This window comes from Homo sapiens, chromosome 5 (assembly GCF_000001405.40).
Source record: "Homo sapiens chromosome 5, GRCh38.p14 Primary Assembly".
Taxonomy (NCBI): domain Eukaryota; kingdom Metazoa; phylum Chordata; class Mammalia; order Primates; family Hominidae; genus Homo; species Homo sapiens.
In genome coordinates this window covers 163480868-163496109 of record NC_000005.10, presented here as the reverse complement: position 1 = coordinate 163496109, position 15242 = coordinate 163480868, and the positions used below count along the sequence as shown (strand labels likewise).

General features: G+C 38.3%; 1 protein-coding gene and 1 long non-coding RNA gene across 5 annotated transcripts in view; one reads left to right on the top strand and one right to left on the bottom strand.

Annotated features, from left to right (window-relative positions):
- Window positions 1-2051: 2051 nt before the first annotated feature.
- Window positions 2052-13506, top strand: HMMR-AS1 (HMMR antisense RNA 1). Its single transcript, NR_109892.1, has 4 exons — window positions 2052-2411; window positions 2561-2667; window positions 6727-6859; window positions 12838-13506. It is a non-coding gene; the product is annotated as an HMMR antisense RNA 1 (long non-coding RNA).
- HMMR (hyaluronan mediated motility receptor) overlaps window positions 4169-15242 on the bottom strand; it is a 31310-nt gene continuing 20236 nt past the window's right edge. For all 4 annotated transcript variants that reach the window (NM_001142556.2, NM_012484.3, NM_012485.3 and 1 more), the window contains 6 exons: window positions 13322-13468; window positions 12938-13090; window positions 12743-12842; window positions 11865-12041; window positions 5558-5720; window positions 4169-4998 (listed from right to left, as the gene is read on the bottom strand). In NM_001142556.2, coding sequence (NP_001136028.1) covers window positions 4946-4998; window positions 5558-5720; window positions 11865-12041; window positions 12743-12842; window positions 12938-13090; window positions 13322-13468 — 793 coding nt within the window. In that variant the 3' untranslated portion in view covers window positions 4169-4945. The remainder of the gene's footprint in view (window positions 4999-5557; window positions 5721-11864; window positions 12042-12742; window positions 12843-12937; window positions 13091-13321; window positions 13469-15242) is intronic.

Genomic DNA, 15242 nt, shown 5'->3' with positions numbered 1-15242 from the left:
TGTTTACTTCCTTGACTACCTATTCTGCCTCATAATGAGTATAATGAGGACAGTTGGTTGTTTCTAATGTCACTGGATAAAGTGGTGCAAAAGTGAGTGTAGGGATTTTTATTCCCAGCTCAAGTGCTCCATAAATAATCTGAAAGCTTCTATGTGCACCCTGAAGAAAACCCTATCTCCTGTAGCCCCAGAGCTGAGACTGTTGAAAATCAAACACAGCATCTCATCCTGTGACTGGCTGAATTACAACACAAATTAGAATTCCAGCCTTGCAGAGTGACTATTGTCAAAAGGAGGGCACTTACTGAAAAAAAAATGGGATTCTGTAAATTAGGATTGGGACATATGGGAAGACCTTGATGAAGCTGGGGACATTAAGCCCCTAAATTCTGATGAGTCTTCTTTGCTAGTGGAGAGGCTTCTCAACCCCATTGGAAGCAGCTTCTCCATTTCCAGTGATAGTACCCTCCAACCTGTCTGTGATGATTAACACTGCATTGCCTGAGGAAATTGTAATGGCCTCCTTTGAGGCAGTTGATATGCAAGACAATGTTGGTTCTCCTCCAGACCCAACTCCACCACCCTTCTTTGCTTCTAGACCTGAAACTAGACAGGAACAAAGTGTTACCTATGAAGAGATGTGCTATACTCCAAAGAGTTACTCAAAGTCTCTAATTTATACAGACAAAAATCTGGGAACATATGTCGGAATGGATAATAAAGGTGTTGGAAAATGATGGAAGGAACATAAAGTTGGATCAGGTCAAATTTATTGACATGGGCTCACTAAGCCAAGATTCTGCATTTAACATTGCAGCTTGGGGAGTTAGAAAGGGTGCTCACAGTTTGATTGGCTTACTAAAACATGGAAAAGATGAATTGGAAGTGCTGGACATGCCTTGGTTTAATCTAGAGGATGGGATTAAAAGGTTTAGGAATATTGGGAAATTAGATTTTTCACTTAAGAACTACTCATCTCGGGTGGATCATGAGGTCAGGAGATCGAGACCATCCTGGCTAACAAGGTGAAACCCCGTCTCTACTAAAAATACAAAAAATTAGCCGGGCGCGGTGGCGGGCGCCTGTAGTCCCAGCTACTCGGGAGGCTGAGGCAGGAGAATGGCGTGAACCCGGGAAGCGGAGCTTGCAGTGAGCAGAGATTGCGCCACTGCAGTCCGCAGTCCGGCCTGGGCGACAGAGCGAGACTCCGTCTCAAAAAAAAAAAAAAAAAAAGAACTACTCATCCACACTGGGAAGGTCAAGAAAGCATACCTTTCACCAATACTATGAGAAAGAAATTTGCGAGGAGAGCTCCAGCATCTTTTTCAGAACTCTGTGATGGCTCTTCTCTGTAGGCCAGAGCTCACTGCAGTCACTGAACTGGAAAACCTAAATATAATGGAAGTAAAGGATCCCAGGGTGGCAAGGGTCAAGTAATGGGACTCAACCACCAAAGGCAAGGTGAAGTGGTTATCATAATGACAGAGCCAAAGGAACAATTAGAATAATCTCACTTGTAGACCTATGCTTTGGCTAGTTGATCATGGTTTTCCTAGACGTGAAATAGATAGGAAGCCTACTGAAGTCTTAACTTGATCTGTATAAGCAGAAAACTTCTAAGTCAAGTGACGAAAGTTGAACTCGAATCATAAAAACAGAATCGTGGTCCCTTAATTCCCAAACTTGAGCCACTTTATAGAGCCCAAAACCCTTTGATTGAAGGGGAGGACCTCAAAGGGACCCTGGTCCATAACCAAATGTTTATACTGTTAGTCTTTCTCCTAGTCCTCCGCAAAGGGATGTACAACCTTTACCAACGTAACTGTGCATTAGAAAAAGGGAATAATCAGATCTTTTGTGAACTAGTGGACACTGGCTCTCTGAAGTGACACTAATTTCAGGAGATCCAAAGTGCTACTGTCAGGGTAGCAGCTTATGGAGGTCAGGTGATCAGCAGAGTTTTAGCTTAGTTCCATCTCACAATGGGCCCAGTGAATTCCTGAACCTATCCTGTGGTTATCCCCTAGTTCTAGAATGTATAATTAGAATACAGTCAGCAGCTGACAGAATAATCCACACATTGGTTTCCTTACCTATGGAGTGAGGGCTATTATGGTGGAAAAGGCCAAGTAGAAGCCACTAGAACTATCTGTACTTAGGAAAATAGTAAACCAAAAGCAATGCTCAATTCCTATAGGGACTGAAGAGATTAGTGCCACCATAAGTACTTGAAGGAAGGCGGGGTGGTGATTCCTACCATATGTCCATTCAACTCGCCTATTTAGCCTGGGCAGAAGACAGATGGATTATCACAAACTTAACTAGGTGGTGACTCCAATTGCAGCTACAGTACCAGATGTATTGCTTGAGCAAATTAACACAACTCCTGGTTCCTGGTATGCAGCTACCTGGTATGATCTGGCAAATGCCTTTCTCTCCATCCCTGTCTATAAGGCCGACCAGAAGCAGTTTGCTTTTAGCTAGCAAGGCTAGAAATGCACCTTCATGTCCTACCTCAGGGCATATCAACTCACCAGCCCTGTCCTAATTTTGTTCACAGGAATCTTGATTGCCTTTTCTTTCCACATCACATTGGTCCATTACATTGACGACATTATGCTCACTGGACCTAATGAGTGAGACATAGCAACTACTCCAGACCTATTGGTAAGACATTTGCATGTCAGAAGTGGGAAGTAAATCCAACAAAAATTCAAAGGCTTTTTCATGTCTCAGTAAAATTTCTAGGGGTCCAGTGGTATGAGGCATGTTGAGATACCCCTTCTAAGGTAAGTTTTTGCATCTGCCCCCTCCTACAACCAGAAGAGGCATGACATGCGGCAGGCCTCTTTGGATTTTGAAGACGTTTCCTCATTTGAGTTTGTTACTCTGGCCCATTTACTGAGTGACTTGAAAAGCTGCTAGTTTGGAGTAGGACTCAGAATAGGAAAGGTTCTGCAATAGGTCCAGGCTATTGTGTAAGCGGCTTTGTTGCTTGGGACATATGAACTTGCAGATCCAGTGGTATTTGAAGTGTCAGTGGCAGATAGAGATGCTGTTGGAACCTTTGGCAGGCCCACATAGATGAATCTCAGTGCAGACCCTTAGTATTTTGAAGAAAGACCTGTTATCCTATGCAGATAACTACTCTTTTGAGAAACAGCTCTGGGCCTACTGCTGGGCTTCAGTAGGGACTGAATGCTTACCGTGGTCAATTAAGTTACCATGCGACCTGAGCTGCCCATCATGAGCTGGGTGTTATCTGACCCACAAGCCATAATGCTGGGTGTGGACAGCAGGAGTACATCATCAAAGAACGTGTTATGTATGTGACTGGGCCCAGGCAGGACCTGAAGGCAAAAGCAAGTTACATGAAGAAGTGACCCAAATGCCCATGGTCCCTGTTCCTGCTACCTTGCCTTTTTTCTCCCAAGCTCATGGAGAGTTCCCTATGATGAGTTGACAGGAAGAAACAACATGGGCCTAGTTTATAGATGGTTCTGTGTGATATGTAGGCATCACCTGAAAGTGGATAGCCATAGTACACCAGCCCTTCTCTGGGACATCCCTGAAGGATAGTGGTAAAGAGAAATCCTCCCAGTGGGCAGAACTTTGGGCAGTGCACCTGGTTGTTCATCTTGTTACCCCATGTTGGCTAAAAGTAGAGGTCCTGAAGCATTTTATTATTTATTTATATATTTTTTAGAGATGAGGTATCACTATGTTGCTCAGGCTGGTCTTGAATTCCACCTGCCTCAGCCTCCCAAAGTGTTGGGATTATAGGCGTGAGCCACTGGGCCCAGCCCATTAAACCATTTTATTTTATTAGACAATTTTTCTAATTTCTACGTTTCTTCTGAACTTAATTTAAAAAACTGTATTTTAAAATTCAACCATGTATTAAGATCTAATAAAATAATAATGAAAAGCAATTCTGACTGATAGTCCCTGTTGAGCCATCAGTGAGAACACATTATAAAAAAGGTAGCTTATAAATATCATACCAATGATATGTGCAAAACAGGCATTTTAGAGAGAGATTTACCACTTTCCAAACAGTATCTTTTGTGATTCTGGGGACAAGGTGGTGTGGGTAGGGTAGAGATGATAAATACATCTTACATAGAAGCATGAATGTAACTTCATAAAATACAAGCTGAAAAATTAATTGGTTAAATGACTTACTGTGTAATTTTATTTCATATTACACAAATGTTAATCAAATGCTGAGTAGACATGCAGATGACAAGCAGTATATGACAAACTCTGAAGAAATAGTTACATGTAGAGTTTCTCAGATTTTTAGTGTATCTAAGAATTAACTGAAGAGTTTGTTAAGAATGCAGGCTTAAAGGCCAATCCACAGATTATAATTTCATACAAACAGGATGGAGCCTAAGAACCTGTAAATTATTAAACAACTGATTAAAAATAGAGAGGTTTCTATGAAGTTAGGCTTGTCCTTATTTCTTATTTGAACTGGACAAGTAGAAGGATAATAGGTAGGACCAAGTGAGCATTATCAGAATCAAAGTAGAGGCAATAACAAGCCAAGGTGTTTTAGCCTAGCTAAAGAAGCTCAGACTAGAAAAGACCTCCAGGATCAAGCTGAAGAATCTGGGGTTTAGACTCTTGAAACTAAGGTTTCAGAACAGGAGGATAATAATATGATACTGACTTTTAAGTTGATGAGATGCATTCTAAGCTGGAAAGCCAGCGAAAGGGTTCAGAATGAGGTGATAAAGGTGAGCATTAGGGAGGAGGTATTTGCAAGAAAAAATAAAATGTCAAAAGACACTTTGGTAAAAAATGTTCCTTTCACATATTTAAGGATTGGCAGTTAAAATTAAATACAACATTATAAAATACCCATGTCAAATATAATAACAGCAACATCAATAACAACAAGACGAATGAAATAATCTTCAACAGGTTTCTCAGATGTTTACTTCCATGATTCTTGACACTCCATAGGAGCTCGGTAACAGTTTGTATTGCCTAGAAGAATTATTGAAAAGAAGGATTAGTAATCTAGATTAAAACGAATTTATCCATCATTATAAACTAAAAACAGGCCTTGTATCTTCTTTAAGGCAGATGAAGCAATATATTCTGTAAGATAATTTTTAGATTTATCATTTCAACCAACTTTAATTTATCGTGAAAGACAAACATTCACAGTCAAGAAATAAGAAATTTACTTCTCTAAAACTACAAATCAGAAAATGATTAAGGACCTAAGAGACATTTAGGTTAAAATGCTAAGGGTATTATAGAGGGAGTAATTTGGGGTGTGTGGACAGGGACAAAATAGTCATGCAAAGCTTCAAGGAAGATTTGAGATTTGCCTTGAAGAACAGGCAGAATCCAGGTATACAGAAAAGAAAGCGTAGAAGGAGGAAGAAAACAGTCATTGTACACAACAATCTCAGTAAGAACTGCTTTTATCAGAAGGTGTCAACAAATTTTCACAGTTCATAAAATGGATGACTTGCTAAATGCTATAAAAGCAAATCCAAAGGAAGAGGACACTTTTATACATTTATTCATGTCTTACCTTCTTTTAATGGGGTCTTCAGGGCAAAATTTTCTTTACTTTCATGATGAAAAGCCTTTGAAGGATCAAAGTGTTTGATACCTAGAACTTTATTCAATTCCTCTTGAAGTTTTGTCTCACTTTGTTTTTTTTTAGCAAGCTGACAGCGGAGTTTTGATACTTCCTAGGTAAAAAGAAATAATAGGTAATAAACAATTATTAAAGAGTATGTCAGTGAAATGTGTTACCAATGTTGCGGGCAAATTCCAAAGTTGTTTATGTATTATCACACTCAACAGCAAAAATCACTACTAGACACAGGCTTTAAGACTGAATTACAAAATGACATGAAACAGCTGTGACAAAGGAGATACAGTCTTTTAAATCTCCTTGCCCCTCCTCAGCTACAAAGCTATTTTTCTGATAAAAGTTCAACTCAAAAGTAATTGCTGAGATGGACTTCTGGCATGACAGCATGAAAGTTCTGCTGACCTGCTCCCTAGTGAAACTAAAAGTTATAAAATATTAACCAGTTAAAGCCTCTGAAAATTGACCTAAGGGAAAAATAGCAAATGAAGAAACATCTATTCAAGAAAATCTGCAAAAATTTGGTGAAAAAGAGAGTCTGCAGTGTTTAAGCCAAAACTCCTTCCCCTCTTCCCACTCCCAGCTTAGCAAGGCAAAGTCCACGCCAGACGGCTACAGCCAAAAGCACAGGGCCCTCTTTTCCCCCAACTCCGAGTCAGAAGCTTCCCTCCCAGGAGGACCAGGACATCAGAGTTTCTCATTTTGTCCCCAGCTCCCTGTGGCTGCAGTTATATCCTGGACAAATGCAATTGTGAGGTGGGGGATCCCTTCCTCCAGTCAGCCCCATTCATGGAACAGGGGCTCACCTTGGGCACAGTGTGTTGAAAATGCTGGGCCCCGATGACTCTTTCTCTGGCTCATGAGGGGGATGGTTCTACACCAGGAGGTTACTCAAGAGGGCCTGAGGCTATTCCTCATCTCTTCCCCACAAGTCCACTGAAAACTCAGCTCCTAGGGCAGAGGATGTCACTCAGAGAGAAAACTGCCATTGTCCCCAATTTCAGCTCTAGTCCTGGCTCAGGGATATTGTCGGGGGAGGGGGAAAGGAGGGCGGAAAAGACAAGTAGGCCATAAAACAGGGAGCTCCTCATTTCTTTTCAAAGGAACTGACTTCACCTGCAACAGAGCTTGGAGAAGCTGAAGCCTAAGGGTGCTCTAAAGCAGGGGTCCCCAACCTCCGGGCTACAGACCAATACCCATCCAAGGCCTGTTAGGAACCCGGCTGCAGAGCAGGAGGTAAGTGGTGAGCCAGGAAGCATAAGCATTACCCCCTGAGCTCCCCCTCCTGGCAGATCAGCTGCGGCATTAGATTCTCACAGCAGTGTGAACCCTATTGTGAAATGCACATGTGAGGGATCTAGGCTGCATGCTCCTTATGAGAATCTAATGCCTCATGATCTGAGGTGGAACACTTTAATCCTGAAACCATCCACATAAACCCATCACAAGCTGGGTGATCCGGTCTGTGGAAAAACTGCCTTCCACAAAACTGGTCCCTGGTGCCAAAAAGGTTGGGGAACCATTAAAGAACAGTGGTGGTTATAGTGAGAGAGAAATGGGAGGAGATTTAAGATACAGGCTGAACAGTAGGCTAGTTAGTTTGCAGGAGAAAACTAGGGAATATGACAGCTGGGACGAGCCCTTCTGTAGTCAGAATAAATATCCAGCACTGCTCTCGTATGCAATCCCTACAAAGGAGCCAGAATTTGATTGGATTAGTTTATAGAGCAATTTATGCCCTAAGGCACTGTTGCAAATAATCAAGCAAGGAGCCAGCATCTACTGGAGTTTACAGTCACTATGTTCACGGAAAGAGAGGAAGGCAGCCCTACCAAAGCAAGTGTCATCCCAGGGTAATTGTGGGCACACCTAAAACTGTACCTCCCTGAACAGCAACATCAGAGGCACAATACTGTTGGGGTCTGGGGAGGTAGTGGGATATGTTTCCCTAAAATAATTGAGCCACTCATTAAGCAAACAAGCAAATAAAAAGCCCCCAAAAGGAGGGGGAGCTGTACCCAGAAATGCTACAATATATGATCTAAAAATTTACTTTCCAATGAAAAATTACAAGGCATGCCAATAAACAGAAAAGTATAACCTATACATTTGGACACAAGGAGAAAAAATGTCTGAGAGTAATCGGATGTTGGATTTTTCAGCCATTAAACAAGGGCTGAAAAACCACCTATTGAGTACTATCCTTACTGCCTGGCTGACGGGACCTGTCATACCCTAAACCTCAGTATCATGCAATGCACCCATGTAACAAATCTGCATATGTACCCCCACATCTAAAATAAAAGATGAAATTATAAAAAAGAAAAGTTCTTGGCCAGGTGCAGTGGCTCAAGCCTATAATCCCAGCATTTTGAGGCCAAAGCTGGTAGATTCCTTGAGCCCAGGAGCTCCAGACCAGCCTGGGCAACATGGCAAAACTCTGTCTCTACAAAAAGTAGAAAAATTAGCCGGATGTGGTGGCGCACGCCTGTAGTCCCAGCTACTTGGGAGGCTGAGGTGGGAGGATCACCTGAGCCCAGGGAGGTTGAGGCTGCAGTGAGCCGTGATTGCATCACTGCACTCTAGCCTGGTGACAGAGTGAGATCCTGTCTCTAAAAAAACCCAAAAACCAAACAAAAAAATAAAGTTCTTTCTCCACTAAAAATTTAAAAAAAGAAAGAAACTTAAAAAAAAAAGACTCAAATTACTAGAATCAGAAATAAAGAGAAGCCATTACTACTGACCTTACAGAAATAAAAAAAAGATTATAAAGGAATACTATGAACAATTATATACCAACAAATTAGGCACATTTATAGAAAGACATAAACTACTCAAGAAGAAAACCGAATCAAGAAGAAAGAGATAATCTGAATAAGCCTATATCAAGTAAAGATATTGAATTAGTAACCAAAAAATATTCACAAGAAAAACCAAGGTCCAGATGGCTTCACCAATAAATTCTACCACACATTCAATGAAGAATTAATACCAATTATTCAAAAACCATTCCACATAGAAAAGAGGGAACATTTCTCACTCATTTTGTGATGTCACCATTACCCTGATACCAAAATGAGACAGACATTAAAAAAACAAAAACAAAGCAAAGAAAACCTACAGACCAGTATATCTTAGGAATATGGCTGAAAAAAACCCCTCAGCAACATATAAAAATAATTATATGCCATAACCAAGTGAGATTTATCTCAGAAGGTTAGATTAATATCTAAAAATCAATTAATAAAATACATCATATCAACAGAATAAAAAAATTACATGATAATCTCAATAGAAATAGAAGAAGCACTTGATAGAATTCATTACCCTTTCATATAAAAATGCTCAACAAACTAGGAAACAGAAGGGAACTTCCTCAACTTGATAAAGAGCATCTATGACAAATCGACATCTTTGTTTTTTTTAGATTGTTTCGCTGTTGTCTCCCAGGCTCAATGGCTCCATCTCGGTTCACTGCAACCTCTGTCTTCTGGGTTCAAGCCATTCTCCTACCCAAGTAGCTGGGATTACAGGCGCCCGCCGCCACACCTAGCTAACTTTTGTATTTTTAGTAGAGACGAGGTTTCACCATGTTGGCCAGGCTGGTCTCAAACTCCTGACCTCAGGTGATCCACCTGCCTTGGCCTCCCAGAGTGCTGGGATTATAGGCGTAAGCCACCTCGGCTGGCCAACAAATCAACATCTAATAATGTCACGCTATATACATCATACAGGTAACATCATATATCATGGAGAAAGACTGAATGCTTTCCCCCTAGATCAGGAACAAAGCAAGGCTGTCCATCCATTTTCATTACTTCTAAATTCAACACTGTATTATACTACAGGTTTTAGCCAGAGATATTAGACAAGAAAAAGAAATAAAAGGCATCCAGATTGGAAAATAAGTAACACTATCTCTATTTGCAAAAGACATGATCTATAAGAACATCCTAAGGAATCCACTAAAAAACTATTAGAACTAAAATGAGTTTAGCAAGGGTGCAGGATACAAGATAAATATATTAAAATCAATTGTATTTCTATACACTGGCAATCAACAATCCAAAAATGAAATTAACAATTTCATTTACAAAACATCAAAAAGAATAAAATAGTAATAAATTTAACAAGAGAAGTGGAAAACTTATACTCTGAAAACTATAAAACATTGTTGAAAGAAATTAAATGAGATCTAAATAATTGGAAAAATATCCCATATTCATGTATTAGAAGACTTAACCTAGTGAAGATAATAATATGTCCCAAACTGATCTACAGATTCAATGCAATTCCCATCAGAATCCCAGCTGGTTTCTTTGTAGAAAAACTGATTCCAAAATTAATATAGAATTGCAAGAGGTCCAGAATAGACAAAACCATATTGAAAAATACAAAGAGGACTCACGCTTCCTGATTTCAAAACTTACTACAAAACAACAGTAATCAAGACAGTGTGGTGGCACAAGGATAGATGTATAGATCAATGGAAGACAGTTGAGAGTCTAGAAATAAATCCATACATGTACAGTCTAAATGATTTTTTAATTGGATGCTAACTCCATTAACTGGAGGCAAGAATATTCTCTTTAAAAAATAGTGTGGGGACTATTGCATGTCCACATGCTAAAGAATGAAGCTGGACCCTTACCTCACACCACATACAAAAATTAACTCAAAATCAATCAATAATCTAAATGTAAGAGCTAAAACTATAAATCTCTTAGAAGAAAACACAGGGGTAAATCTTCCTGACCTTGAATTTGGCAGAGGAGATAGATACCAAGGAACGAACAAACAAAAAAATAGACACACTGGACGTCATAAAAGTTTTTTGGGTCAAAGGACATCATCAAGAAAGTGAAAAGACAATGCACAGAATGGGAGAAGATATTCGCAAATAATACATAAGAGACTTGTGTCCAGAATTGATGAAGAATTCTCACAATAATAAAAAGACTAATAATCCAATTTAAAAATGAGCAGAGTATAAACAGACATTTCTTTCATGAAGATATACAAATGGCCAGTAAGCACATGAAAAGATGACCAACATCATTACCAATTAAGAAAATGCAAGTTAAGTTAATGAGATACCACTTCATACCCACTACAATGGCTAGGATAAAGAAGTCAGATAATAACAAATGTTGGTAAGAATGTGGAGAAATTGGAACCCTCGTACACCGCCTGTAGAATATAGATTGGTATGAGCCACTTTTGAATACAGCCTGACCTTTCTATGGCCATACCACCCTGAACGCACCCGATCTCATCTGAATGTAGTCTGATACTTCCTGAAATGATTAAATGTAGAGTTATCAAATGATCTGGCAATTTCCCTCCTATTATTTCCCAGGGAAATAATATGTCCCAGGAAAAAACAAATGTCCATACAAAAACTTGTACATGAATGTTTATGGTAGCATTATTCATAATAGCCAAAAATGTGCAAACAAGTGTTTATCAACTGACAAACGAATAAATAAAATGTGGTATACCCACATAATGAATTATTAGGCTATAAAAAAAATAAAGTACTCTCCATGCTACAACACAGGTGAATCTTGAAAATATTATGCTAATTGACTGAAAGAAGCCAGTAACAAAAGGCCACATATTATTTGAATCCATGAATATGCCAGGTCCACAATAGGGAAATCAACAGAGACAGAAAGTAGATTAGTGGTTTCTTAGGGCTGAAGGGTGGGGTGGGGTGAGGAGATAGGAGAGTGTTAGGAAAAGGATAACAAGGTTTCATTTTGAGGTGATGAAAATGTCCTAAAATTGACTATGGTGATGGTTGCACAAATCTGTGAGTATACTAAAAAACACTGAATTGTCCACTTTCAATGGGTGGATTGTATGGGTTGTCAATTATATCTCAATACATATGTTAAAAAATTTAAATGCCCAAATATTTTTGAACACTGCTTCTCTTTATGGTTTTACATCAAGGAGTTTGCAGTTTTGCAAATGGAAATAGATATGTAAAGCTTAATGAATTCATCCAATTACTCAAGTAATTTTCAATATATTAAGAAGGTAGCTAGAAAACTTTAGAACATTGAATGCCCATCTGGTCAACACTCTAAAATAAATCCACTAAATCACAGCTCAATTTTCCTCTATAAACAGTTATTTTTTTCTGATACCAAAGATATTCATTTTATTTAAGTATTATAGTTAGAATAACCCCCACTCCAATATCTTTAATAAAATGAAAAGTCATTTTACAAACCGATTTGAGTTGGCTATTTTCATCTTTCAACTTCACAACATGCTTGATTTTTTGTTTCAAATTCTGATGACCCAATAATTTAGCATATGAATCTCTTATTTTATTTAGCTGTTCCTGAGCTGCACCATGTTCATTCAACAATGCCTGTTTTTCTACTTCAAAAGCATCTAGTTGTAGCTGAAAAAGATTTTTTAAATAAAGTTAAGACTTAAAACAGTTTGATCTTACTAGTTTCATATAAACCATAAACACTAAAGAAAATTAAAAACACAAATGAAAACAAGGTATGTTCACATATTCTCAGGGCTCTCCATAGATTCTCTATGAGAATCTTTTAAACTTTGTATTTTTCATTTTAAAGATCATTAAAACAGAGGAAAAGAAACAAGGTAAAAAAGCCAGCTGGCCAGTTTTATCTGTATCAGTTAGATTACCACATTATAACCAATACTGTACTTCTAAGTTCCAAAATCAGCATTTATTCTTTTTTCTTTTAAAAGATCAGTATATTGAGAAACAATGAGTATTTGCAATAAGTCATACCACAAATTAAAATAGGTTAATTATCAAAAGCTCATACCAGGCAAGCCCTCTGAGCCAAACTTTTAAGTTCCACATTACAAAGTTTTTTTTTAAACCACAAAGGGTCCATTGAAAAAATTATGTCAATTAAATTTGTCAATTATACTTCAATAATGTGGGAAAAAATTATGCATAATTTAATAAAATGTATAAACCTTTAATAGTGAGCTAAATTGGCACTGTAAGTGCAGAGCAAAATGATCTTGCAGAAAACCCGAGTCACTGTCCTCACTATAATAGGGAACAAAGTGAGTCCCTAAAATAAACACAAGTAAGTTTACTCCTAACTGACAAACCTGAAAAGGTTTTGTTTTATTATATAGTTCTTCATAGAGGAGACGCCACTTGTTAATTTCTTCAGTTAATTCTGCTGTTGTATTTTCTTTTTCAGCTTTTCTGCATGGAAGAATTAAATTGAGAAAAACATAGTTATTTAAAAAATCACATCGTAACTGAGTTAACAAGGCACTCAGGTTCTAATCATAGATTACCTTCCTTCTTCATCTTCCAGCTGTTTTCTAAAGTCTTCCTCCTGTTGCTTGAGTTGGTTCTGCAAATCAGTTATTTTTTGAAGAAAAGAAACTGTGATTTCTTTAATTTCTGTTTCCTTTAGTGCTGACTTGGTCTGCAGATCTAGAAGCATCCTTTGGTTTGAGAGAGAAGAGGTCACTAAACATTTTATAGCCACTTTCATTAATTTTTCCTTTTTTTTTCTTTAAACCTCAAGGAACTCTTCAAGAAGTGTCATTTTTTAACTGAGTAAATTCTTAATTTGCAGTATAAGATGGCCAAAAGCAAGCCAAGGGACAGTTACTAGCTGGCTTTCAACATTAAATTGTCTTAATGGTTCTAAGGCCATTATTTGCTCTATATACCTTACATATTCTTGATTTGAGCTCTCAGTTGCCAAAATCTGATGCTGAACATCCTCTGCATTTTTCCCAGCCTTGGCCGCTTTTTCCTGTAATGATGAGTTCTCCAGCTTAAGATCTTCTATCTCACTGGCTGTTAACGCTTTATAGCTTATTAAAAAGAAAAAAAAGTCAAAGTAGTTTTCTAACTATTGCGTATGACAATCATAACTGATTAGTTTACACTTTATATACTTCTAAGTAAAACTAAAAAGTTTTTAATGTATTCATGCATTTAACACAGGTAAGAATTCAGTGTTCTGAGGCAAGTACTAATGAGTTTACATGGCATCTGCTGTGTATTCAAAGAAAAAAAAATCAAGTGCCTACTAGGTGCAGGAAGTATGCATACAGAGATGGAAAAGAAATCAACTACCAAGCATGAAAATTACTCACAATTTAAAAAATAAGAAGTGAGACTAGAGCCTAATGAGTAAGAAAGGCTGGAGCAGAAGCTGGTGGCATGAGGGTCATCACCGCAGGGCACAGTGGGCTTACCTGGCGGACAGACGGGAACCATTAAAGGTGTCCAAGTAGGCTGGGCGTGGTGGCTCATGCCTGTAATCCCAGCACTCTGGGAGGCCGAGACGGGTGGATCACCTGAGGTCAGGAGTTCGAGACCAGCATGACCAACATGGTGAAACCCCATCACTACTAAAAACACAAAAAATTAGCCAAGCGTGGTGGTGGACACCTGTAATCTCAGCTACTCGGGAGGCTGAGGCAGGAGAATCACTTGAACCTGGGAGGGGGAGGTTGCAGTGACCTGAGATAGTGCCATTGCACTCCAGCCTGGGCAACAAGAGCGAAACTCCGACTCAAAATAAACAAATAAATAAAATAAAAAGGTGTTTAATTAAATGTGTAGCTCACTCTAGAGCTATGAGGAAGATGGATTAGGGCAGGGGAAAAGAATGGAAAATTGAAGGATCAACTCCAAAACAATTATTTATCAGCCCAGGTGAGTGATAAAGGAGGCTTAGACTAAGGAGCTGGCAATGGAAAGACACAAGATCTCTTTTGGAAGCAGAGTAGGAAAATTCAAGAGATAGACTGAATATTGGGGGTAAGGAAGAGAGAATGATGAAGGATGACTCTAAGATTTACAGAATGAAAAGCTGGGAAGATGATGTCACTGATTACAATAAAAACAATGAGAGACTAGGGGTAGAAAGCAATGGAAGGATCAAGAGTTGGTTTGGACAGGTTAATATTAAAAGACAGTGTGATATCTACTTGAAGATGTCAAGTGGGTAACTGGATATGTGAATATGGAGCTGTAAAGAAAGGTCTGGTTTGATGAAATAAATTTTAATGCCACGAGTATATGGATAGTGACTAAAATCACAGAATAGATAAAAACCCCCTGAAGCACTATTCTTCAAACTAACGAGAAGGGAAATTCCTTTACAGGATTGATATTAGCAATAAATATATATATATAAAATTTACATATATTTATATGATTTATATGTTCTGATACAATAAAAATTATAAATAAAACATATACACTTATAAATTATTTATCTATGTGTCTGTCATAATGTATCACATGTGGGAACAGATCACTGGGGAAACAAGGTACAATTTAATGAATTAAATTAAACTAGGCAGTTGGTTGTCCATAGGGAAAACAAAAAATGAATTTGATCCCTATATTGCTACACACACAGAAATCAGTTCTAGGTGGAAAAATGGAAAGTGAAATTTTAAGACTTTTAGAAGAAAACTGGTTGAATATCTTTACACCTTGAGATAGAAAGAAGTTCTTAAATGAGAAGCAAAAGTACCCACATACAGATAAATATTTTAACCATATTGAAATCAAGAATTTCCACTCATCAGAAGAAACCAAAAAGAAAATAAAAAAATAAGCTAAACTGGC